This window comes from Homo sapiens, chromosome Y (assembly GCF_000001405.40).
Source record: "Homo sapiens chromosome Y, GRCh38.p14 Primary Assembly".
Taxonomy (NCBI): domain Eukaryota; kingdom Metazoa; phylum Chordata; class Mammalia; order Primates; family Hominidae; genus Homo; species Homo sapiens.
In genome coordinates, this window is record NC_000024.10 from 18,931,756 (window position 1) to 18,958,037 (window position 26,282).

The following is a 26,282-nucleotide window of genomic DNA, read 5'->3' on the forward strand; positions in this document are numbered from 1 at the left end:
GTGATCTGCCTGGCTCAGCCTCCCAAAGCGCTAGGGATACAGTCATGAGCCACCACACCTGGTGAGCACAGTTTTTTAGAGGAATCAATCTCAAATTACCTATGTGTGTTCATTATTCACATACATACATATATATGGCATAGGTGTATAATTATATATGTCAATGTATAACCCTACCTCCCAATATTTTTCTTGGAAAATTCCTTTGAATTAGACTTACAAGGTCTTCAAAAATGACATGCAAGCCTTCATAATTAGTTATTTATTGCAAATTGTTATAGGTAAAATATGAGTTATGGTTTCACATTTGTGTACAATATACACAACAGCTAAAGGAACATAGATGCTGTTAGATTTAGTAGATAATTTCAGTGACAAGAGGCCAAACCCAACTTATTTTTGCCCTTTTCAGGTATATTTCTTCCTATAACTAATAAGTTGTTTTAGATCATCTCTGAAATTGTTGCTTTTGTACATGAGGCATTCTATTATTCCATTACTCTGTTTTTCCCCATTTTTTTGGTTTCAAAATTAGAATGATGCTTTCTAAAAATAGCAAGTTTTGTGAGATTGATCATTTTATCTTCCTGATGCTTCTCTCTTCCTCTCATTTTTCATTCTTGACCCTACCCAGGCATTCATAGACTAAGACTCATTTTCAAAGTAAACAAAGCTCAATATTTTTCACTGTAGTCCAAAAGGGAATGCTGTTTATTGAGAAATGCAAAGATGATTTTGAAGAGCTATTTTGTAATCCCCTCCCCTCAACATTATGATTATTGATTTACAGCTTAGTGATGAAATCCCATGAGAACCAATGAATAAAAATAATATTTGAAGCATAAAACAGTGCCAGCTTTGAAAACCTACATCACACATATCAAAATGATCTAACCTTGTAAGTCAGCATACTAACATCATCATATACAAGCAGAAAGTCTTGTTGCTTTTAATTTTTTTAAATTTATTTTAAAGTCAGGGTCTCACTATGTTGTGCAGGCTAGTCTTGAATTCCTGGGCTCAAGTATTCCTTCAGCCTCAGCCTCCCTGCTGTGTAGCTGGGACTAAACATGCATGCCACCAAGCCTGGAAAAAAGAAAAAAAAAAGAGAAAAAGAAAAATACACTAAGCTTCAAAAATACTTTGGGTTTTTAATGTTCTCCTGCCATATAAGTTTTCATAGCTCAAGGGACTGTTTTGAGTTGTAGCATCTGTCTCAGTGTGGAGTTACTCCTTCAATATAATAAAAACTAAGAGAATTTTCATCTCTATCTAAGGGTGCTATATATCTTAGCGATAGCACTGAGTTGTGATAACTTTTAAAAAGCTTATAAAATGATATTTAAATAATTTTAAAAATGCAGCACAAAGAATAAATCAATGATTTTACAGAAATAAATGGTAATAGGAATGAATACACAATTATCCATGACATTTTAAAATTAAGCTTTTTCTTCAAGATCTGGCAGGGGAAAAATAAAGGTTAGAAAGTAATGAGCTATATGTGAACATGACAAGAACAATTTTCAGTTGTACTCATTTGTCACCTGTCATTTAAGTTAAGCTGATATTTTGCTCTTAATCATTCCTCTGAAACCTACCCCAATGTGTAGGTTTCTGTCCCAGACTCCATTTATGGGATGTCTGCTTTAAATTTCTTTTCAGGATAAATGCTTATAAAAGCAAGCAGGATGATTCGCTCATAGCCAAATGGACAGTTCTATTTAAAACACAATCAAAATGGAAGTTAAAATTATTAAAAACATTTAAAATTTAATAATTGCAACATGTTTACTTTTGACTTCTAATCACTGTCTTACAAATTATTATCAGTGATTGGGCCAGATAACCTGCATTATATTGGAATTGATCTCCCAGGACCTTATTTATTTATTCAGCTTAAACGTAGCTCACTGTTGAGACTTGATTTATAGTCAGGGTATACATTATTACTTAGAAAGGGCAGACCACTTTTAACAATCTAAAAGGAATAACTCATTAGTGAGCTATAAAGAAAGAATGATAATGGCTAATCTAAAATATTAAGATAGCAACTAACTATAATAGTCATTTTTAAATAAAATATACTCAAATATAAAAAATGTCAATTCAGATACAGAATGATAGAGCTGTCATTATGAGATATATACATATATATAAAAAATATACACACATATACACATATATATGTGGGTATATATACATATACACACATGCATAATTATATTAATATAAATACACAATATATTTTATAAATATAATTTACATGAATTGTTATGTATTATATGTCACATATAATATATAGTTATACATGTAATGTGTATATGTAATATACATATATGTACATTATAGAAGGAAGGCTATACTGTATATCACATATAGTATAATTAAAATTTATATTTTAGGCCTGGCAAAGTGGCTTACACCTATAATCTCAACTGGGAGGCCAAGGTAGTAGGATAACTTGAGGCCAGGAGTTCACGACCAGTCTGGGAAACAATGAGTCTCCTTCTCTAAAAACAATAATACATAAGTAAACAGGCCAGGCGTGGTGGCTCACACCTGTAATCCCAGCAGTTTGGAAGGCCAAGGCGGGTGGATTGCTTGAGGTCAGGAGTTCAAGAACAACCTTGCCAACATGGTGAAACCCCCATCTCTACTAAAAATACAAAAACATTAGCTGGGTGCACACCTGTATACCCAAATACTCAAGAAGCTGAAGGAGGAGGATCCCTTGAACCTGGGAGGAGGAGGTTTCAGTGAGCGGAGATTGTGACATTATAATCCAGCCTGGGCGGCACAGAGAGACTCCGTCTCAAAAAAAAAAAAAAAACAAAAAAACAAAAAAAGTAAACAAGTAAATGAAGAAATCAATAAATTAATTTTTCTATTATAATATACTATGTATATATGAAAAATTTATAATACATAATATATGTTATTATTATAAACTTTTGTTTCTTCCTTTTTTTTGAGATGGAGTTTCATCTTGTTGCCCAGGATGGAGCACAACGGTGCAATCTTGGCTCACAACTTTAGCCTCCCAGTGCAAGTGATTCTCCTGCCTCAGCCTCCCTAGTAGCTGGGATTACAGGCATGTGCCAATATGCCCAGCTAATTTTGTATTTTTAGTAGAGACAGTGTTTCTCCATGTTGGTCACGCTGGCCTTGAATTCCTCACCTCAGGTGATCCTCTCACCTCAGCCTCCCAAAATGCTGGGATTAGAGGCATGAGTCACCAAATATTTTCATATGATATATTAAATAATTACATAACTATAACATATTTACATAATGTTATATAAAATTTATATAACTAAAATAGAATTTATAAAGCCACCATGGCACATATATACCTATGTAACAAACCTGCATGTTCTGAACGTGTATCCCAGAACTTAAAGTAAAATAATAATAAAAATAAAAAATTATATTGAGATATATTAATTATAACATATATCTTATTATATATAACATATTATATATAAGACATGTTATATGTTATAGTAACATAATTGTATAACTTATACAATATATAATTATGTTGTAATTAATATATCTCATATGATATAAATACTATATATTACATTACAGTTATACTGTGATTATATGCTATATATATCACAGTATGTAGTATTACATATTATAATAGTACATAATGAAACATTTTATGTTACATAATTATATTAGTATGTTGCATAATTATTATATTATTATGAGTAAATTATATTGCAATGGTTATATTATATATAGTATATATTACATATTTTGGTCATGATGCCAAAACATACAAAGAGTAAATATGTTATTAATATAAAAGTATCATGTTTGAATATATTCACAATATAGTTAGTACACACTGGAGTGACATAAATCTATGAGATGTATATGTTGAAACAGTTGAACCTATACTACCTACAGGGATGCATATCTGCAAGCAAGAATACCCTCTTCCCAGGTCTCAGTGCCTCTTCTTTTGCACCCATTCAACCTCATGGCACCATGAAGACCTCCTTCCCTAAGGAAAGGGAGGATTCCTAGATCTGAGTCCCCTTGGGAAGGTGGTCTTTGGAAATAGCAGCCCAACAAGAACTTCTATGATCCTTCTGTAATTATGAGAGTCACAGCTAAGCTTTATCCCCTAGAATGTAAAGTCAGTTGAAATAAAGGCAAAGAGTCTGGGCTAGGGAAGCATCCCATGGAGACGTGGCCCAGTAGCTACAGAATGCTCCTCCCCTGGGCTTCCCGTGTCCTGCACATCCTCAACTCCACAGAAGCCCACAGCATTTTCACAGGGGAAGTCCCACGTTGTTTTGGTCTTTCTAATACCATCCTTCTCAATGTCATGGCCATCAGACCAAATGAAATATGGCACACACACTTAAATCTTTTCCTGTTTGAAATGTAAGTATTTTTAACTTTGAAATGCTGCCTCTAAGAAATATCTCCCCAACGGATGCTTATTGTAAATTCAGCTACCAATGCTCCTTTTCAAATAAAATGAATAATATTGAGATGGAATGTCACTCTGTTGCCGGCTGGAGTGCAGTGGTGTGATCATGGCTCACTGCAATCTCTGCCTCCTGAGTTCTGCTCCAAAAGAGTGAGCCAACCAATTAGCTCACAGGTGATTAATACTATTTTGTAAATTGGCCTGATCACCAAACATCATGAATTTATGTCATGAATTTATTCTCGCTCCTCACAGACATGTCTTTTTCAGATGGTTTTTGATTCTTTGTGATTCCATAGAGTAGGAATGTTACCTCATTGTTCGACTCGCAATCCTGTGATATGTCATGAGTCTGAACATTTAACATAAGAATATAATCACTTTGTTTTGGAATTTGTGAGCCCACTCACATGTGGCTTCTTTGATGCCTTTGAAGTGCTTTGAAGCCAAAAGAACTGTCTTCTTGTGGTAAGGGGAGCCAGGAACAGCTGAGTAAAAACTACAGATAACCTTAAGCATCTTTCCTATTTGACTTCCTATTTATTTTAAGAACTTTTTTAGTTTTCCATATTTAGGGGAACGAATGCAGGTTTCTTATGTGCACGTATTTTATAGTGGTGAAGTCTGGGCTTTTAGTGAACCCATCAAACAAAGAGTGAGCATTGTGCCCAATAGGTAATTTCTCAACCCCTACCCACTTCCACACTTCTGGGGAAGATTCATATTTCTCCTTAGGCACTGATAAGTTCAAAAGTAAAGTTGGTTTCATAACCCTTCCATCAAGTCCTCCTGACAACAGCCCAAAGGCCTTGTGCAGAGCAAGCAGAAACTTGCCCACCATGTCAACTTCAAAGTGAATAATCATCACATCATTAATGAGCTTCTGACAACTACTCATTGATTATGGAATCATAAAACACTAGAAAGTAAAGGGTGGAAGAGACTTCCAATACATCACTTTTGCTTATTTTCCTTTAAGAAATTTTTTAGTTTTCTATATTTAGGGGTAGAAGTGCAGGTTTCTAACATACACAATTTTGTACTGGTGAAATCTGGGCTTTTAGTGAACCCATCAATCAAATAGTAAGCATTGTGCCGAATAGGTAATTTCTCAGCTCCTACCCACTTTCACACTCCTAAGTCTCCAGTGTCCATTATTTTACTGTCTATGTCCCTACCTGCACACTGTTTAGTTCCCACTTACAAGTGAGAACATGGGGTAATTTTATCTCTGTTTTTGAGTTATTTCACTTAGGATAATGGCCTCCAACTCCATCCAGGTTACTACAAGACAATATTTCACTCTTCTTTTATGGCTGGATAATATCCTATGGTGTACCTATACCACATTTTCTTTATCCAGTCCTCTACTGATGGACACTTAGGTTGATTCTATATTTTGGCTATTGTAGTGCTGTGATAAACATATGAGTGCAAGTGTCTTCTTTAGACAATTTTTCTTTTCCCATGGGTAAATACCCAGACGTTGGAACTTCTTGCAGATCAAGATACTTCCCCAAACTTCAAAATCAAAAATCTGTAGTATATATCTCACCATTTAGGGTACTCAAAGACACATTCTACACACTCTCTTCAACATGTAAGTTCTACCTTGGTGCTGACCAGCTGAAATTCTCTATCTTGGCTTTTTTTTTTTTTTTTGAGATGGAGTCTCACTATGTCGCCAGGCTGGAGTGCAGTGGTACGATCTCAGCTCACTGCAACCTCTGCCTCCTGGGTTCAAGCGATTTTCCTGCCTCAGCCTCCTGAGTAGCTGGGATTACAGGCACGTGCTACCCCGCCCAACTAATTTTTGTATTTTCAGTAGAGATGGGGTTTCACCATGTTGGCCAGGATGGTCTTGGTCTCCTGACCTTGTGATCCATCGGTCTCAGCCTCCCAAAGTGCTGAAATTACAGCTGTGAGCCACCGTGCCTGACCTCTCTATCTTGGTTTTCAAAAAGGAGGAAGAAAGAAGGAAAGATGAGAATAGATGACTTACAACCACAATGAACAATGTGCTGTCAACAATGTTGGATAGGTAGATCACATTTTTAGACTGATAAAAATTTGCAAAACAATTTTTTTGTTTTTTGTAAATTCTACATGCCTACACTCTTAACCCTTCAACACAAGAAGAAGGAATTTGGTTCTCTCTGAACAACTGCTCACACCTCATACTCATACTCACCAAAATATTCTCCCAAATAAATCCTTCTGAGTGGCTTGGTGACTGACACCTGCAATCCCAGCATTTTGAGAGGGCAAGTAGGGCAGATCATGAGGTCAGTAGATCGAAAATATCCTGGCCAACATGGTTAAACCTCGTCTCTGCTAAAATACAAAAAATTATCTGGGCATGCTGTTGCGCACCTGTCGTCCCATCTACTCAGGAGGCTGAGGCAGAGGAATCACTTGAACCGAAGAGGCAGAGATTGCAGTGAGCCATGATCACGCCACTGCACTCCAGCCTGGCAACAGAGTGAGATTCCATCGCAAAAAAGAAAAGAAAAGAAATCTATCTGTATAATGTGACTACATGTGCTGAATCATCTTCATTTATGCAACTGATTAGATAAATTTGGCACAAACTATTCAATTACCTGGCCAGAGTTCTCCAGAGAAACAGAACCAGTAGGGAAAATAATAGAGGCTGAGTGTGGTGGCTCACTCCTGTAATCCTAGCACTTTGGGAGGCTGAGGCAGGGGAATCACTAGGGACTAGGAGTTTAAGACCAGCCTGGCCAACATGGCAAAACCCCATCTCTACTAAAAATGCAAAAATTAGCTGGCCATGGTGGCACATACCTGCAATCCCAGCTACTCGGGGGGATGAGATAGGAAGATTGCTTGAGCCTGGGAGTTGAAGGCTATAGTGTGCCAAAATTGCAACACTGCAATCTAGCCTGGGCAAGAGAAGGAGATGTTCTCTCTCTCTCTCAAGAGAGAAAGAAAGAAAGAAAAAGAAAAATAATAGATGACTGATAGAAGATAGATGTGACAGATGATAGATATGATAGATGATGATGATCAATATAGATAGATGATAGATACATGATGGAGATAGATAATAAACAGATAACCGATACATAGAGACATAATAAGATGGATAGATGGATAAGATAGATAGATAGATAGATAGATACATAAAGATTTATTATGGGAATTGAAGTTATTATGGAGGCTGAGAGGTCCCAAGCCTTACTACGTGCAAGTTGGAGAAAGAGGAAAGCTGGTGTTGTAATTCCAGTATTTCCGAAGGCTGCGAACCAGAGAGTTCACCATGTAACTATCAGTCCAAGATCAAGGTCCTGAGAATATGGGACATCACTAGTGTCAGTTCCAGATATGAAGGTTCTGTCTTCTAAGAACCTAAGTTAGGGTGACAGAGAGCAGAAGAAGATGACTGCCCAGCTTGAGAGAGAGCAAATTCACCTTTCCTCTGTTATTTTTTTTCTACCTCTGGTGCTGTACAGTCTGAATCATCATGTCCACTCACATTGCTGAGGGTGGGTCTGCCGTCCTCAGTCCACCAGTTCAAAGGCCAGTCTATTCCAGAAACCTGCTCACAGGCACACACCTGGTATCCCTCAGATAGCTAAAGTTGCTGCCTAAAATTAATCATCACAATAGTGTTGTCTGAAATCAAATGGACGGGGTCCAGCACGTGTTGGTGTGTGCAGCAAATATATCATCCATACCAAGCCACTTGGTGGTAACAGCCAGGTGTTGGCTTCAAGGAAGGGCCTGATAGAGTAAATGGAAACTGTTCCACCAAAGCAGGGGTTCTTCAGGCATAGACTCTCTTGAGACCTATATGGCTGTCTACTAGTTTAAGCATTCTAACATTATGTATGCCCTATATCAAACCTCATAAAAGAGTTGATATGGCTGATAGACTATCATTACAGATTGAAAATTGGTTAAGGCCAGGCATAGTGGCTCATGTTTGTAATCCCAGCACTTTGGCAGGCTGAGGCAGGTAAATGGGTTGAGTTCAGGCATTTGAGACCAGCTGGGGCAACATGGTGAGACCTCTAACTTTGGAAAAAACTCAAACATTATTTGGGCATGATAGTATAGTACCAGCTACTTAGACAGCTGAGATGGGAGGATCATCTGAGCTTAGGGAGATCAAGGCTGCAGTGAGCTGTGATGGCACAACTGCACTGCAGCCTGGGTGACAGAGTTACACTCTGTCTCAAACAATTACAATAATAAGAAGTCAAGCAACATTTTGGTGCATATTTTAAATACTTCAAAAATACCAAGGCAAAGTTAAGAAGTAGCCAGTGTCACACATGGAATCTCTTCCTTTTAAGCTGGAAGTGGAATCACATGTTCTAACATTGGACTTCTGCTGCTGCATTTAGGTCTCATAAAGGGAACATACTTTGGGGTTGCAAATTCAGAAAGAAAACAAGGCTGTGATTGACTTTACCCTACTGCTGGAAATCTGGTTCCAAATAGTCCTTTGTCTCATACCCATTGTTCAAATCAAGAAACTGTTCATCGCTAAACCAAACCCTGGGATTAGCATTGACTCCCACACTTGAGGTTTTACATGCATGAAAAGACCAGGCTTAGAAAATTAGTTCAATAAAAAATAATAGATTTTTTGCCTATTTAGCTTGAAAATGGGGAGTTTAAAGATGATTGGCTAAATTATCTTCAAAATATTTTAATTGTATGCAGAAGATATTCATTCATTATCCTAAGTATAAAATGAATAAACAGACAGCTAAAACATATCCAGAAAGTATTTGGGTGTAAGTCAACCTAATTACAAGTTGATTATACATTAGTCAAGACTAATAAGGAAGACTGATTTCAGAATTTTCAGGTGTAAGTGTAAGTTTTTTTTTTTCCCTCACCATCTTCAGGTGTAAGAATAAGGTTTTTTTCATTTTAGGTTTTGTTTTCTTCTGTTTTTGAGACACAGCCTCACTCTATTATCCAGGCTGGGGTGTAGTGGTGCGACTGTGTCTCATTGCAGCCTCCAACTCCCAGGCTCAAGCCATCCTCCCATTTCAGACTCTTGAGTAGCTGGGACTAAGAGAGAACACCACCACACCTGGCTACTTTTTATATTTTTTGTACAGACAGGTTCTCCCTATGTTTCCTAGGCTGGTCTCAAACTCTTGACCTCAACCAATTCTCCAGCCTCAGCTTCCCAAAGTACTGAGATTACAGGTGTGAGCCACCATGTCCTGCAGGGAATAATTTTTTTTTTTTAAGGAAGAAAATGTTATTTGTCCTGAAAAACTTAGATATCTAGCCATCTTTAAAAAAGGAATTAAACTAGATAATCTATTTAGGTTTTATTCATGTATGTGTGAGCATCCATAAATATATGTTACTGCAAACAGATATCTGAGTTCCTAAACAGAATATGGCTTATTACTATGAAACACAATCAGTTTCCCAACATTTTTTTCATAAAATAGTTGACTCTTTATCTAGAAGATCTTTTCTGTATTTTTTCTTGGCCTTCCAAAAATAGCATAGAATGAAACAGAGAGCCATAACTGAGAGTATTAAGTGTCAGACTCAGCCTACACACCTATATGGGTGAACTATGACAGTCAGGCAAAGGTAATACACACCTGTCTTTGGAAGAAGAACTTACAATTGACCTTTGAACAACATGAGTTTGAACTGCATTGGAGGTCCTGAGACAGCAGGACCAACCCCTCCTCTTCATTCTCCTCCTCAGCCTCTTCAGTGTGAAGATGACGTGAGGAAGACCTTTACGATGATCCACTACTACTTGATAAACAGTAACTATATTTCATTTTTTTAGGATTTTCTTAATAACATTTTTTCTCTACCTTATTTTATTGTAACAACACAGTATATAGTATACATAACATACAAAATATGCGTTAGTTGACTCTCTATGTTATTGTAAGGCTTCTGGTCTTTTCAGCAGTATATTAACTGTTAAGTCTTGGAGGAGTTAAAAGTAATACATGGATTTTTGACTGCATGGGAGAGTAAGTGCCCCTAATCTCTACACTGTTCAAGGGTCATCTGTATATTGAAAATATAGTCTTTTTACCAATGAAAATATCTTTCACGTACTAATGCAAGATGAATGCTGCATAGACTCAACTATATTTTACTCCTTAAACCAAGACATATATATATACTTGGAAATTGTCACTGTATGGTATTGTAATACCTAACTCAGGATATATTGGCTGTTATAAAAAGTTCCTCCTGCCTGGTATGGTGGGCTCATGCCCGTAATTCCAACGCTTTGGGAGGCCCAGGTGGGAGGATCCCTTGAAGCCAGAAGTTTGAGACCAGCCTGGGCCACATTCGGAGACCCCATCTCTATAAAAAAAAAAAAAAAAAAAAAATTAAAAGTAGCCAGGCTTGGTGGTGCACACCTGTAGTCACAACTACTTGGGAGGCTGAGGTGGGAGGACCCCTTGAGCCCAGGAGTTCAAGGCTGCAGTGAGCTATGATCACACCACTGCACTCCAGCTTCGGTGACAGAGCAAGATGAGAGAGAGAGAGAGAGAGAGATGGAGAGAGAGAGGGAGAGGGAGAGGGAAGTTTCTCCTGTATAATTATTTTTAATATGAGAAAAAGAGACAGAGGGAGAGAGTGAGGAGGGGAGACAGAGAGAGGAAGGAAAGAAGGAAGGAAGGAAGGAAGGAGAGAGAGAGAGAAAGTTTCTCCTCAATAATTTTGTTTTTTGTTTTGAGACAGAGTCTCACTCTGTAGCCCAGGCTTGAGTGCAGCGGTGCAATCTCGGCTCTCAGCAGCCTCCATCTCCCAGGTTTAAGTGATTATTCTGCCTCAGTCTCTGGAGTAGATGGGACTACAGGAACATGCCACCATGCTGGGCTAATTTTTGTATTTTTTTTTTTAGTAGAGATGGAGTTGCACCATATTGGCCAGGCTGGTCTTGAACTCTTAACCTCATGATCTGCCCACCTTGGCCTCCCAAAGTGCTGCAATTACAGGCATGAGACACTGTCACTGGCCAATTATTTTTAATATAACCCAAATAGTGACCAACTATAAAGAGAAGGCAGAAAATAGTGCCAAAACCTTTTCTCACCTTTAGAGATAAAATGCCCTTGTTGGTATGGTCTGTTCTTTTAAGTCTGTTGTCATTTGGTATTAGAAAGAGAAATTTAACATATGGAGTTTCTCGTGGAAACTTCCTTTGAACTGGTTTCGCTTGGGTTCATTTGATAAATTTACATCTGTTTATTTTTTACGCCTCCAAATGTAACCACACAACCACCTATTTATTTATTTATTTTACTTTTTTGGGATGGAGTTTCACTCTGCCATCCAGGCTGGAGTGCAGTAGTGCAATCTCTGCTCACTGCAGCCTCTGACTCCTGGGTTTAAAAGATTCTCCTGACAGCCTCCCGCGTAGCTGGGACTACAGTGGCTATTTTTTTTTTTTTGCATTTTTAATAGATAACGGGGTTTCATCATGTTGACAAAGCTGGTCTCCAATTCCTGACCTCAGGTGATCCACCCATCTCGGCCTCCCAAAGTCCTGGGATTCCAGGCATGAGCTACTGTGCCCAGCCACAAATACCAATTTAAACCATGGGTTCTGTGTCTGTGGTTGTCTGAGGTACCTCAAATCCTTATTTTTCAAATGAATAGTTTTTGCTCTAGCCAGTTTCCTACCTTTCCACAGTAAAGAGCTTAGACACAAGATCAGGCATTCAAAGTTTTATTGTTTTTCTTTAATACTAAATGACACAATATAACACCATCCAGGCCTGCAGCTCTCAATAAAGCTAAATGTGATTTTGTTTGAAATGACAGGATCCACCAATGCATTCAACAGCCTTCTACATGTCTGAGGTCAGGAAGTTGTCTTAAAGAAGACAAATCCCTTCTAAGAGAAAAAAATAAAATAATTTTTTTTTTGATTCTTAAATTTATATAGCTGGACTATCAAATAAAAACATGAAGGATAAAAAGAAAAATCTACCAGCTGCTACACACCAGATGATAAAAATGTGAGAGATTCTGAATATTCAGCTTACGGAGGACAAAGTGCAGCTAAAATACAATGAAATGTGCTCCTTTTCACTTGAAAGATGTTAAACCACTTTCATAAAAGGTTAAGGCTTTACAACTATGTATTAATTTTCAAATCTCTTAAACAGCATCTTGAGTTGTTGAAAATATCAAGGAATTTTTGCTTTCTACTGAGATTTTTCCTTGCAAGGTCAAAAGCATGATCAGTCTCTTCTTAGGAGTTACTCAAGCGTCCATAAAACCTTATTGTTAACACTAGGCCCTGTGACATACAGCAGATCTTCAGAACTTACTCATCTCAAGTAACTTAACTGTAGATCAGTATCTCCCTTTTCACTCTCCTCACCTTCCCTAGCAACCACCATTCTGTTTTCTACGTCTCTAAGTTTGACTGTTTTACGCACCTCATATGAATAGTGTATACAAAAAAACTTGCTTCAAACTGTGTTTTACCTCTGCTCTTAAACTACAAAACATCATCAACACATAAGCAGCATTCTGTGACTAAATGTATGACCTTTCAAGAAAAAGAGTCAAACTCTGTAAAATATTTGAAGAGATTTATTCTGAGCCAAATATGAGTGACCATGGCCTGTGACACAGCCCTCAGGAAGTCCTGAGAACATGAGCCCAAGGTGGTTGGGGCGCAGCTTGGTTTTAAACATTTTAGAGAGGCATGAGACATCAAACTGTTACACACGTCCATGTGAAGGGAGTCCACCAACAGGCTTTGTGTGAGCAACAAGGCTGTTTATTTTACCTGGGTACAGGCAGGCAGAGTCCAAAAAAGTAGTCAGCAAAGGGTGGTGGGATTAACATTAGTTGTTACAGGTTTGGGATAGCAGTACAAAGTACGTTCTCACGGGCAGGGAGAATATTACAAAGTGACTTCTTAAGGGCTTAAGGTGGGCAAGGTGGGGGCGGGGGCAGGGGAAGAATATTACAAAGTACCTTAAGGACAGAGGAGAATATATCTTTTCAGTTAGGGTGGGACAGGAACAAATCACAATGGTGGAATGCCATCAGTTAAGGCTATTTTCACTTCTTTTGTGGATCTTCAGTTGCTTTAGACCATCTGGATGTATACATGCAGACCACAGTGGATATGATGGCTTTGCTTGTGCTCAGAGGCCTGACATTCCTGTCTTGTTATATTAATAACAAAAACAAAACAAAATGGTGGTGAAGTGTTGGAGTGGCGAAAACTTTGTGGAGATGGTACGGGGAGACAATGGGCAATGTTTCTCAGGGCTGCTTTTAGCAGAATTAGGGTGATGTGAGAACCTAGAGTGGGTAAGCTTAAACTGAAGAGCTGCTTTGAGCGGGATTAGGGGCAGTGTGGGAACCTACAGCGGGAGAGATTAAACTGAAGAAAGATTTTAGGGTAGGGTGTGATGTTGTGGGGTGGTCAGAAGGAGCATTTTTTGTATAGAATGATTGGTGATGGCCTGGATGTGGTTTTGTAAGAATTGAGAAACTAAACGGAAGACTCAAGGTCCGAATAAGAGAAGGAGAAAAATAGGTATTAACTAAGACTTGGGAGGACCCAGGACATCCAATTAGAGAGTGCCCAAGGGGGTTCAGTATAATTATTTGGTAGCTGGTGAGTTTTAGGGCTCTATCTTTGAGTTTTTTTATGTTGTCATATACCAGGCCAGATTGATTCAGGTAAAAACAACACACTTCATTTAAAAATATACAGAGTCCCCTTTTCTTAGCAGTGAGTAAGTCGAGGCCTCAGCGATTTTGGAGGAAAGAGAAATGCAAAGCCAGCAATTGTTTGTTAAAGAAGGATTAGAAAAGGCTGGAAAAAGTGAGCGAGATTGATAGTGTGGTGGAGATAGCTGGGGAGAGGTAAAGGGTGGCATAAGAACAGGAATGAGAATAAGAGTGAGTATAAAAGGAAAGAATAGGACTTCATCAGGGTGAAAGTGTTGGAGGGTGCCCTATCAGAAAAGATCATCTGTCCACTCCAAGAGGGAGTCAAGATTGGTGGACTGGGGATAGTACCAGGAGATATCTGCTGCAATGATTTGGAGGAAAAGTGTAAACCAGCAGTGGAAACAAGGGCAGGGTGAATAGGAGTATAACTAGACAGAAGATAGTAGGGATGACAAGTTTTTGGGGAGCAGTCCAAGTAGTGGAGGTGACTGCGTAAAGCCCTGTTGCAAAAAGTAGGGTAAGGACCAATAGACCTAATAGAATGAAGGGATGTATTAGGCTCATAAGGGTTATTACTGTTCTTCAGAAATGCGAGTGAGTTTAAGGGAAGTAGAGGAGAGTACTTGTGACTTCCAGGAGGAAGATGAGAGATCAGGCTGGCTGTCTGATGGACACAGCTTTATTTTGGAATGGTGAACCCAATGGGGAGGGTCCTGCAGGCAGATGGCAGCTGGGGTACGATAGATGACTAAGTAGGGTCTGGTCCATCAAGGCTGTAGAGTTTGAGGGGTCAGATTCTTAATAAGAACTGATCGTCCAGCTAGGGTCTCTTCCTATGGCTGGGAATCTGGAGTAGGCAAGAGATTAGCAGCCTGGCAAATTTGCTGTCTAGCCTGCTGGAGGACCAGTAGAGTCACCTAGAGGGCTGTTGTCTAGGACAAGGTTGGGGCCGAGCAAGAAAGTGTGTCTATATAAAAGTACAAATGGGCTGTACTATGTAGCATCTCGAGAATAGGCTCTAATTCTGAGAAGGGCAAGAGATAAAAGTACTGTCCAGTCCTTTTTTAAGTTGGAGGCTGAGCTTGGTGAGTTGTGTCTTTAAAAGACCATTAGTCCACTCTACCTTTCCCAAAGATTGAGGACGGTAAGGGATATGAAGTTTCCACTGAATACCAAGAGCCTGAGAAACTGCTTGGGCGATTTGACTAATAAAGGCTGGTCTGTTATCGGACTGTATAGAGGTGGGAAGGCCAAACCGAGGAATTATGTCTGACAGAAGGGAAGAAATGACCGCAATAGCCTTCTCAGACCCTGTGGGAAAGGCCTCTACCCATCCAGTGAAAGTGTCTATCCAGACCAAGAGGTATTTTAGTTTCCTGATTCCAGGTATGAGAGTAAAGTCAATTTCCCAGTCTTGGGCAGGGGCAAATCCCTGAGCTTCATGTGCAGGGAAGGGAGGGGGCCTAAGCAATCCCTAAGGCATACTAGAATAGCAGATGGGAGTACTGAGAAGTGATTTCCTTGAGGATAGATGTATACGATGGAAAGGACATGAGAGGTTCTAAGAGGCAGGCTAGCAGCTTGTAACCTACATGGAAGAGGTTATGAAATGACAACAGAATAGAATGGGCCTGTGAGGCTGGAAGGAGATATTTTCCTTGGTCCAAGAACAATTTGCCTTGTGTGGGAAGAGACTGATAGGTGGAAGTTTCAGTGGGACAGTAGGTGGGAGAGACCAATGAGGAGAAAAACCGGCTGTAAGGGACAGAAGTTGGAACACTAGCTGCTTCTTTAGCTACCTTAACAGTGTAAGTGTTGCCCTTGGTGATGGGATCTGATGCCTTTTGATGGCCCTTGCAGTGAATGACTCCAGCTTCCTTTGGAAGTAAAGTGGCCTTGAGAAGAGTTTTTAATAAAGAGGTATTAATGATGGAGGACCCTTGCATAGTGAGGAAACCTCTTTCAGCCCATATAACAGCATGGCGGTGCAGGATATGGAATGCATATTTAGAGTCAGTAGAAATATTGATGCGTAGTCCCCTTGCAAGAGTGAGGTCCCGAGTTAAGACAATGAGTTCGGCTTGCTGAGAGGTAGTGGAGGGCAGCAGAGCACTAGCCTCAATGATAGATGTGGATGATATTATAGTATAGCCTGCCTTTGCTGGTGAGTGGCAATTAGGCCTGGTGGAACTGCCATCAATAAACCAAGTGTGATCAGGGTGAGGGACAGGAAAGAAGGAAATATGGGGAAAAGGAGTGAATGTCAGGTGGATCAGAGAGATACAGTCACGGGCATCAGGTGTGCTATCTGGAATAATGTGGCAGGCCGGATTGAAGTCTGGGCCAGAACAGTGGTAACTGTGGGAGACTCAACAAAGAGTGAGTATAGCTGAAGGAGCTGGGGAGAAGAAAGTATATGTCAGGTGTGAGGAAGGAAATAGATTTTGGAAGTTATGAGAACTGCCTTGATTCTTCACCTTGGTGGCAAGCACCAACTCCCCTGGGGGGCTTTAGATTTCACAGACTAAGGACTCCATTCCCAAGACTGCCCCGCCCCACACACATCAGTCACAAGTCTGGGCTTCTAGAAATTCTGCCCAACCACCTTCAAATTGGGGTTCCCGCAAACCTCTCTTTGTATTCAATTAATTTGCTGGAGTAACTCACAAAACTCAAGTTACTGCTTAATTACACTTACTGGTTTATTACAAAGGATATCCTATTCCTTACTTTTATACTCAATCTTTTTCTTATGCCACCCTCTACCTCTCCCCAGCTATCTCCACCACACTATTAATCTCACTCACTCTCTCCTACCCTTTTCTAATACAGATAAGAACATGTGTAGGGCAAGATTTGGAGGTGGGAACCAAAAATAAAATTGTGAGTTCCCCCCAGCCACCTGAATGGACTTTCTCCTGGGCCAGGGGACTCTAAAATTTAACCTGAAAGACTGTTTCAGACCACGATGGGAAGTGGGGCTTGGAGATACCTCATTATAGCCGTTCAGCATTAACATCAACACAGACCTTAAGTCTGATAGGAAACATTTACAATCTATTCTCTCTGAAGCCTGCTACATGGAGGCTTCCACTGCATAATAAAACCTAAGTCTCCACAACCCCTTATCTTAAGCCAGACATCACTTTCTATTGATAGTAACTCTGTCAACCAATTGCCAATCAGAATATGTTTAAATCTATCTATGACCTGGATGCCCCCAACCCCTTTGAGGTAACCGACCATTCTAGATAAAACCAATGTGTTTCTTAAATGTATTTGATTGATGTCTCATGTCTCCCTAAAATGTATAAAACCAGGCTGCACCCCAGCCACCTTGGGCACATGTTCAGGACCTCCTGGGGCTGTGTCACAAGGCATGGTCACTCATATTTGGCTCAGAATAAATCTCTTCAAGTATTTTACAGAGTCTGACTCTTTTTATTGACAGGGAGGGGGCACAGAGCTTCCATGTCCTCCCTGCAGCACCGCCCTCCAGGAACCTCCATGTGTTCAGCTTCTGGAAGCTCCCTGAACCCTGTCCTCTTGGGGTTTTATGAAAGCTTCATAACATCAGCACTTCTTCCTCCAGGGAATAAGGTGGGACCTCTCTCATGACAAGGTCTTAAGTCTCACAATCAGAAAGGCTATGAGAGGCCTGCTTCTGAGCCCTGATAAATGCAATATTATAACAAAAGACTGTAAACAGGGCTATGGGAGTTACGGGCCAGGAACCATGAATGAAAACCAGCATGTATCATCATAACACAAATGGAATCGGGCAGAATTTCATACACTTAAAAATTTGTTAAGAGGGTAGATCTCATGTTATGTATTCTTACCACACACACTGTCAATGGAAAAAGTCAAACTCTGTAAAATATTTGAAGATATTTATTCTTAGCCAAATGTGAGTGACCACATCCCATGACACAGCCCTTAGGAAGTCCTGAGAATATGTGCTCAAGGTGGTCGAGTGCTTTATGTATTTTAGGGAGGCATGAGACCTCAATCAAATAAATATATTTGAGAAATATATTGGTTTAGTCCAGAAAGGTGAGACAAGTCAAGCAGGGCATGGAGGAGAGGGCTTCCAAGCTACAGGTAAATATAAACATTTTCTGGTTGACAATTGTTTGAGTTTGTCTAAAGACCTGGGATTAACAGAAAGGAAATGTTGAGGTTAGGATAAATGATTGTGGAGACCAAGATTCGTTTGAAGTATCATAGTGGCTGCCTTTAGAGACAATACATGACTATTTCCTATTCAGACCTTTAAAAGGTTCTAGACTCTCAGTTAATCTCTTTAGGATAGGGAGGGCCTGGAAGATCTAGTTTTGTTAACAGAGATTCTCTGCAGATGCAAATTTTCTTCCACAAAGGATGGCTTTGCAGGGCCATTTCTAAATATGCCAAATAAACATGTTTTCGGGTAAAATAATTTTATTTTTTTCTTCATCATGTAATGTTACACCCGAGTCAGACTGGAAGGTAAGTCTGATATATAGGGTTAAGTAAAACTCATAGAATGAGAATTTATGTTTTATAGAGCATGACACCCCAGGCCTATTACATAGGAATTTGCGCAAGATTTAAAACAAAACAAAACAAAAAAATCAGAAAATTAGTACACACACACACACACACACACACACACACACACAAGAAAATTCTAAAAAACAAAAAAGACACAAAGAACTTTGGAGATGATGGATATATTTCTTATCTTGATAGTAATGACAGTATTGAGGCAGGATAGGTAGTCAAGGAAGTGACTATGTAATCAACTCAATAAACCTCAGCATTCACAATGTCCTTGGGCTCATTCAAGCTTAGCTATCTTCAATAGGCACTTTTCATTCTAGAGAGCATGTGCATTTTGATGTTACCTGTCCTCAAAGTGACCCTTTGCTCATTTTAAGAGTGAAAAACACACCCTTTGGTGCACCCAGAGGAACACCCAGAACATGCTTACTAGTAACACCTCTGACTCCCATAAAAGGAGTCCCTTCCCTTCCCTCCTGTTCCCTCTGCTCCCCTTCCCTTCCTTTTGTTTTTAAATGGAATCTCATTGTTTCACCCAGGCTGGAGTGCAGTGGCATGATCTGAGCTCACTGCAAACTCCGCCTCCTAGGTTCATATAATTCTCCTGCCTCAGCCCCCGAGTAGTTGGGGGTACAGGCCACATTACCACGCCTGGCTAATTTTCGTCTATTTTTAGTAGACACGGGTTTCACCATGTTGTTCAGGCTGGTCTCAATTTCCTGACCTCATGATCCACCTGCCTTGGCCTCCTTAAGTGCTGGGATTACAGGTGTGAGTCACTACTCCTGGTCCAAAATGAGTTTCACCAGCAATAATCAATGCTGTCTCACTCTTAGGAGCAGCCAGCCCTGAAATCTCTCTCTCTCTCAGGGTGTACTGTCTATTCTTAGGCTGACTTTCAAAATATTCTTTTTCCTTTGCAATAAATTACTCTACACTGCATCTCCTTTGCTGTGTGTCTCTTGCTTCTTTTAAACTGAGAAGACAAGAACTGAAGTTTCACAACAGCTGTCCCCAATAACATCCAAACTCATTAAACTGTATATATTAAATATGTGCCTCTTTTGCATTTCAACTATACCTCAATAAAGCTGTTTTAAAAAAAGAGCTACTTCAGAAAATTCTCCAAATATAATGATAAAAACATAAAAAACAAACAAAAACAGTGCATTCCTATTTACTTGCTAGAGTTTTGAACACCTAGCTAGAACTAACATTTTCTATCAAGTGTATGTCAGCAATGATGTCCATTTCCTCAAAGTGTGGGAGAGACCACGGCTTCATTCTGACACATAGGTGCACATATTCTAGAATCTGATCAGCAAATGAACGTTGGTGTGGTGAGCAGAAAATTTGTATAGACAAGGAGTATTGATTGCAATGTGGTGAAACAGGTCTGACAGGTTTGTTTTGCCTTTCACGATGGGTGTCCACCAAGTTGTTTTCCTCCTTCATCTCTCTGACACATGCAGACCCATGCACTTATTCCCTGTTCGCTCTGCCCTTATTTTGCCTCAGCATGACCATATGTATCTGGCTTCACTCTCACAGCTAATGAATAAACCCAAAGGTCCCCACTGAGCCTGCGAGATTAATTAAGCTGCTGACTTATGGCTCCAGCAGAGCAAACCCCCTGAGCGTTCCCCAATATCAGCAGTACAGACTGTGATCAAGTCACTGATAATAACAGTATCTCTTCTTGTCTAACTACTGAGGTTTGTATTCATCCTTATTTGTTTATTTTTGTCCAAGTGGAAGACAACCATTCAGGTTCTTTGGTGTCTATCTCCACAGGGCAAGAACTCCCCCTACTGCCCCAAAATTTATCTTTTCTTTTTATGAAAGGCACACAGTAATTAGCCCTGTGAATTTATTATTTATTTATTTTTCTGTTTGAGAATGCACATGTATTAGAATGATCTGGACATGCCACAGGAGGGGCAGACAGTTTCTAAATTCAAGCCTTTGTAGAATTTTTCTCGATATCACAGATTTTAATGCTCCATCCCAACAGACTTTTTCAAAATGTATCTCCCTGTTGGATTGTCTTAACTATGAAGTTGCTAATGCTTGGAAAACATCTCAGGTGCAAAATTTTCCTTCATTTTGATATCATTAATATATCTATTAATCTTAATATCACAAAGAAATCATTAATATATGTATTAGAATTGTTAGACTGTATTAGAATAATGTAATAAAGCACTTCGCCCATTATGAATTATTTGAGAATTTAGTTTTCCTGGCTCTTTCTTACATATTTGTTCCATCGCCAAAGAAGTTCATTATTTTTAGAGGCCCTTAATTTTTGAAGTCTCACCCTGCAAAATCGTATAGTCAATGAAGAAGCATTTGTGAGTCCTACACAATTTTACCAAGCTACATTTTAGTTTCTGTGATATATCAAAGTAACACAAGAAATGTTTCTACCCTCAAAGCAGCAAGGGAGAAAAACAAACATACATTAATCAGTTTATTGTGAAAAGTTTAATTAAAGAAAAATTGGAGTCAATGTAAGCTGAGGACCTAAGAAAAACTTACAGGATGACATCTTTTCAAGAAAAGTAGGAGGACACTCCTGGGAGCAATGAAAGGAATGCATTTTGCATTTGGAAAGGATGTACACCATTAATCGTCAGAGGTTGACAGTGGTTAGCAGAATTTTTAAGATAGTTGCCATGGTTTTGACTTCCTGGAGTGAATGCCTGGTATGAATATAATGGGCTAATCAATCCCTTGATTAAGGTACATTATATGAGTCTTTAAAAAACAAAAACTTTCAAGCCTTCGCTGAGGGAGAAATTCAAAGTAGTTAAAATTCTCTTGCTGGCCTTGAAAAAGCAAACAGCCATGCTTTAAACCGCCTAAAAAGAGATCTGCAGGGCAATGACCTGGGGGCATCCTCTAGGAGCTGAGTGTGATCCTCAGACAACAGTCAGCAAGGAAACAGACACCTCAGTCTTCCAGCTTCAGTAAATCCATTTTTTTCCAATTACCTGAGGGAACTTGAATGCAATCCTTTCTTTACATTAGTTGGGCTTCCATAAAAGACACAGGCAAGCAAGGCACGGTGGCTCACGCCTGTAATCCCAACACTTTGGGAGGCAGAAGGAGATGAATTGCTTGAGGTCAGGAATTGAGATCATCCTGGGCAACATGGGAAAACCCGGCGTTACACAAAATACAAAAAATTAGCCAAATGAGTTGCCACATGCCTGTAGTCCCAGCTACTCTGGAGGCTAGGATGGGAGGATCACATGGTCCCAGGAGGTTGAGGCTGTAGTGAGCTGTGATCTCCACACTGCACTGCAACCTGATTGACATAGCAAGACCCTGTCTCAAAAGTATTTTAAAAATTTTCAGATATTGGCCGGGCAGGGTGGCTCACACCTGTAATCCCAGAACTTTTGGAGGCTGAGCAGGGTGGGTCACGAGGTCAGGAGTTGGAGACAAGCCTGGTCAATATGGTAAAACCCCATTTCTACTAAAACTACAAAAATTAGGCGGGCATGGTGGTGGGCACCTGTAATCCCAGCTATTTGGGAGGCTGAGGCAGGAGAATCACTTGAACACAGGAGGCAGAGGTTGCAGTGAGCTGTGATTGCACCATTGCACTCCAGCCTGGGTGACAGAGTCAGACTCCATTTCAAAAATAAAATTGAACTAAAATAAAATAACATACATAACATAACGTAACATAACATAACATAAATAAAATAAAATAACATAAAATAAAAAATATAAAATAAAATCCAGATACTCGTTACACAGCAACAGAAGAGTAATACAATGTAACGACATCACAGTAGAAGACAGAAGATCTATTCGTCAAATATTAGGGTGAACAGGAAGAAGGATGGAATGACTCAGTAGGATTTCAGTTAACAGAGGTATTCAAAGACCAGAACAAAACTTCATTTTTTATTGTCTGCCTTTTCTAACTGTTTAAACTAGCTCAAACCATGAGTGGAGCTTGGTCTCCTCTGTATACAGAATAATGGTGATGAGTTTGCATCAAATTCCCCATTCACTCTGTTTTGACCAACAAAACATACGGTGATGAGGATATCTGGTCTTGCGTATGGCACCATTATCTTTGAGTGGAGAAAGTAACTGTACGCATTTGTTTTTAGCTCTGTCTTGGCTACTATTACACATAAAAGGCTTCACTTATGCCCCCCCACTCCATAACAGGCATCTCTTTCCAAACACATCTCATTTTCAATTATATATTTTGGCAGATCTCAAGATCTCCTGGCACTATATTAGCACCATGATTGCATTTGAATGAGAAGCAACCTAAATGTACATGAATGTGGACTGCATAAAGAAAATGCGGTCCATATATATCATGGAATACTATGTAATCCATATACATCATGGAATACTATGCAGCCATAAAAAATGAGAAGATGTCCTTTGCAGGTGAACAGATGGAGCCCAAGGTCATTATCCTTGGCAAACTAATGCAGGAACAGATAATCAAATAACACATGTTCCCACTTATAAGTAACGGTTAAATTATGAGAACACATGGATACAGAGATGGGAAGAACAGACACTAGGCCTTACTTGAGGTTGGAGATTGGGATGAGGGAGAGGATGAGGGAAAATAACTAATGAGTAACAGGCTTAACACCTGGATAATGAAATTATCTGTACAACAACCCCCCACAACACAAGTTTACATATGTAACAGACCTGCACATGCACTGCTGAACCTAAAAATTTTAAAGAACATTTTTCTACTTTGTTTTATTGCCACAGCAAATTATTTGATATTCATCATTGCTGAGTTTATTGAATGTTGTGCTGTCCATGCTAGCTCTGAGTTAAGTGGCTTTTTGAGGTTTCTTTTAGCCAATCTGGTTTTGACATAGAAAGCAAAACCCCATGACTCTTGTGTTCTGTACCATAAGGTTCTTCTATTTCCAAAAAAAAAAAAAAGTCCTTTGATATAAGCTCCTTGACCATTCAGATTTGAGACTATTTCTTCATGTCTGTTTGTTTGTTTGTTTTTTGAGACAGGGTTTCACTCTGTCTCTGAGGCTGGAGTGCAATGCTGTGACCTTGGCTCCCTGCAACCTTGACCTCCCGGACTCAACCTATGCTCCCACCTCAGCCTCCTGAGCAACTGGGACTACAGGTGTACGGCAGCACTCACAGCTAATTTTTGTATTTTTCTGTAGAAATGAAGTCTCACTGTGTTGCACAGGCTGGTCTCACACTCCTGGGCTCAAGTGATCCTCCTACCTGGGCCTCCCAAGGTGTTGAGATTAAAGGTGTGAGCCACCGCCCCTTGCCCGGAGGTGTAATTTTTGAAGGTAGTGGATTACCCCATTTTGAAGAGGCTACCGTTGAGATTTCCAGTGTATTCTGTTGAAGTCCAGATATTAGCAGTACTGACATTGGACACCTACTATATCTTACAACAAGACTGAGAGAATGACTGTTTAACTTGATTTACCTATGAATGTAAATGTCATGTGGGCCAACCTGTCACCCCTGCTCGGTAATATTTTTGGTATCTTCCATTGGTTATTTTTGGACCATAGCTTTTACTCAGTATTTCATTTGCTGTCTGCCAACCCACCTGATGATAACAAGCCTGTGGTCCAGTTTGCTTATGAAAAATTAACTGCTCCACTTTTTAGTTTAACTCAGTTACTGTTGCTGCTGTTGAACTGCTGGGTTTTATAGTAAACAAGGAAAAATTAAAATCATCTTCCAATTTAACGTTGGCCGGCCCCAAAGTTATAACATATTTTATAACACTCAATCTCCAAACCATAGATCTCAGGAGATGGTAAATCAAGGGGTCATGTTACCTGTACACACACACACACACACACACACACACACACACACACACACACAGAAACCTAGACAGACCTTGACAGATTAAGAAATACTTAAATGTCTCCTCATATTAAGAATGAAAAAACTTCTAGTGGAAATAACATTAACTTAGATGTCAGGAGATCCAAATTAGTCCTGACTTACACACTTTCTAGATATGTGATTGTGAGCAAATCAGTCACCACTAATTATGCTAATGTTTTACATTTGTGGAAAAAAATAAATTATAATGCTAATATGGCCAGTCATGACAGCTCATGCCTTTGATCCCAGCACTTTGGGAGGTCCAAGCAGGAGAATCACTTGAGCCCAGGAGGTGGAGACCAGGCTGGGCAACATAGTGAGACACTGTCTCCATAAAAAAATTAAAAATAAATAAATAAATTAGCTGGGTGTGGTGATGCATCTGTAATTCCAGCTACTTGGAAGGCTAGGGCAGGAGGATCACTTGAACCTGGGAAGTAGAGGCTTCAGACAGGTATAATTGCACCACTGCACTCCAGCTTGGACAATAGAGCAAGACCCTATCTCAAAAAAATATATAGACAGTCTAGAGTGGACCTCCAGCAAATTCCAGCAGCCCTGCAGCAGAGGGGCCTGATGGTTTGAAGGAAAACTAACAAACACAGAAATAGCATTAACATCAACAAAAAAAAGTCCACACAGGAACCCCATCCGAAGGACACCGACATCAAAGACCAAAAGTAGATAAATCCATGAAGATGAGGAAAAGCCAGCACAGTAAGGCTAAAAATTCCAAAAACAAAAAAATCAGAACTGCTCTTCTCCTCCAAAGGATCACAACTCCTCACCAGCAAGGGAATAAAACTGGATGCAGAATGAGTTTGATGAATTAACAGAAGTAGGCTTCAGAAGGTGGATAATAAGAAACTCCTCCGAGCTAAAACCCAATGCTAGCAAGCTAAGAACCTTGAAAAAAATATTAGAGGAATTGCTAACTAGAATAACCAGTTTAAAGGAGAATATAAATGACTTGATGGGCCTGAAAAACACAGCACAAGAACTTTGTGAAGCATACACAAATATCAACAGCTGAACTGATCAAGCGGAAGAAAGGATATCAGAGATTGAAGATCAACTTAATGAAATAAAGTGTGAAGACAAGATTAGAGAAAAAAGAATGAAAAAGACCAAATAACAATGCCTCCAAAAAATATGGGACTATGTGAAAACTTCAAACCTCCGTCTGATTGGTATACCAGAAAGTGATGAGGAGAATGGAACCAAGTTGGAAAACACTCTTCAGGATATTATCCGGGAGAACTTCCCCAAATTAGCAAGACAAGCCAGCATTCAAATTCAGGAAATACAGAAAACCCCACAAATATACTCCTTGAAAAGAGCAACCCCAAGAAACATAATCATCAGATTCACCAAGGTGGAAATGAAGGAAAAAATGTTTAGGGCAGCCAGAGAGAAAGGATGGGTTACCTGCAAACGGTAGCTCATCAGACTAACAGTGGATCTCTCTGCAGAAACACTATAAGCCAGAAGAGAGTGGGGGCCAATATTAAAAGTCTTAATGAAAATATTTTCAACCCAGAATTTCATGTCCAGCCAAACTAAGCTTCATAAGTGAGAAGAAATAAAATCCTTTACAGACAAGCAAATGCTGAGAGATTTTGTCACCACCAGGCCTGTCTTAACAAGAGCTCCTGAAAGAAATACTAAATATGGAAAGGAAAAACCGGTAGCAGCCACTGCAAAAACATAAACT

The 26,282-nt window shown here is 39.5% G+C and overlaps 1 long non-coding RNA gene across 8 annotated transcripts in view; it reads right to left on the bottom strand.

Annotated features, from left to right (window-relative positions):
* TTTY14 (testis expressed transcript, Y-linked 14) overlaps positions 1-26,282 on the bottom strand; it is a 205,047-nt gene that overhangs the window by 59,255 nt on the left and 119,510 nt on the right. For 2 of the 8 annotated variants that reach the window (NR_001543.4, NR_125737.2), the window contains one exon: positions 696-1,086. The exons of 4 other annotated variants lie outside the window; for them this stretch is intronic. This is a non-coding gene — a long non-coding RNA (testis expressed transcript, Y-linked 14). Of the gene's footprint in view, positions 1-251; positions 1,087-1,601; positions 1,721-26,282 lie in introns of those variants that run through there. 2 more of the 8 variants (NR_125733.1, NR_158641.1) reach the window with 2 other exon arrangements.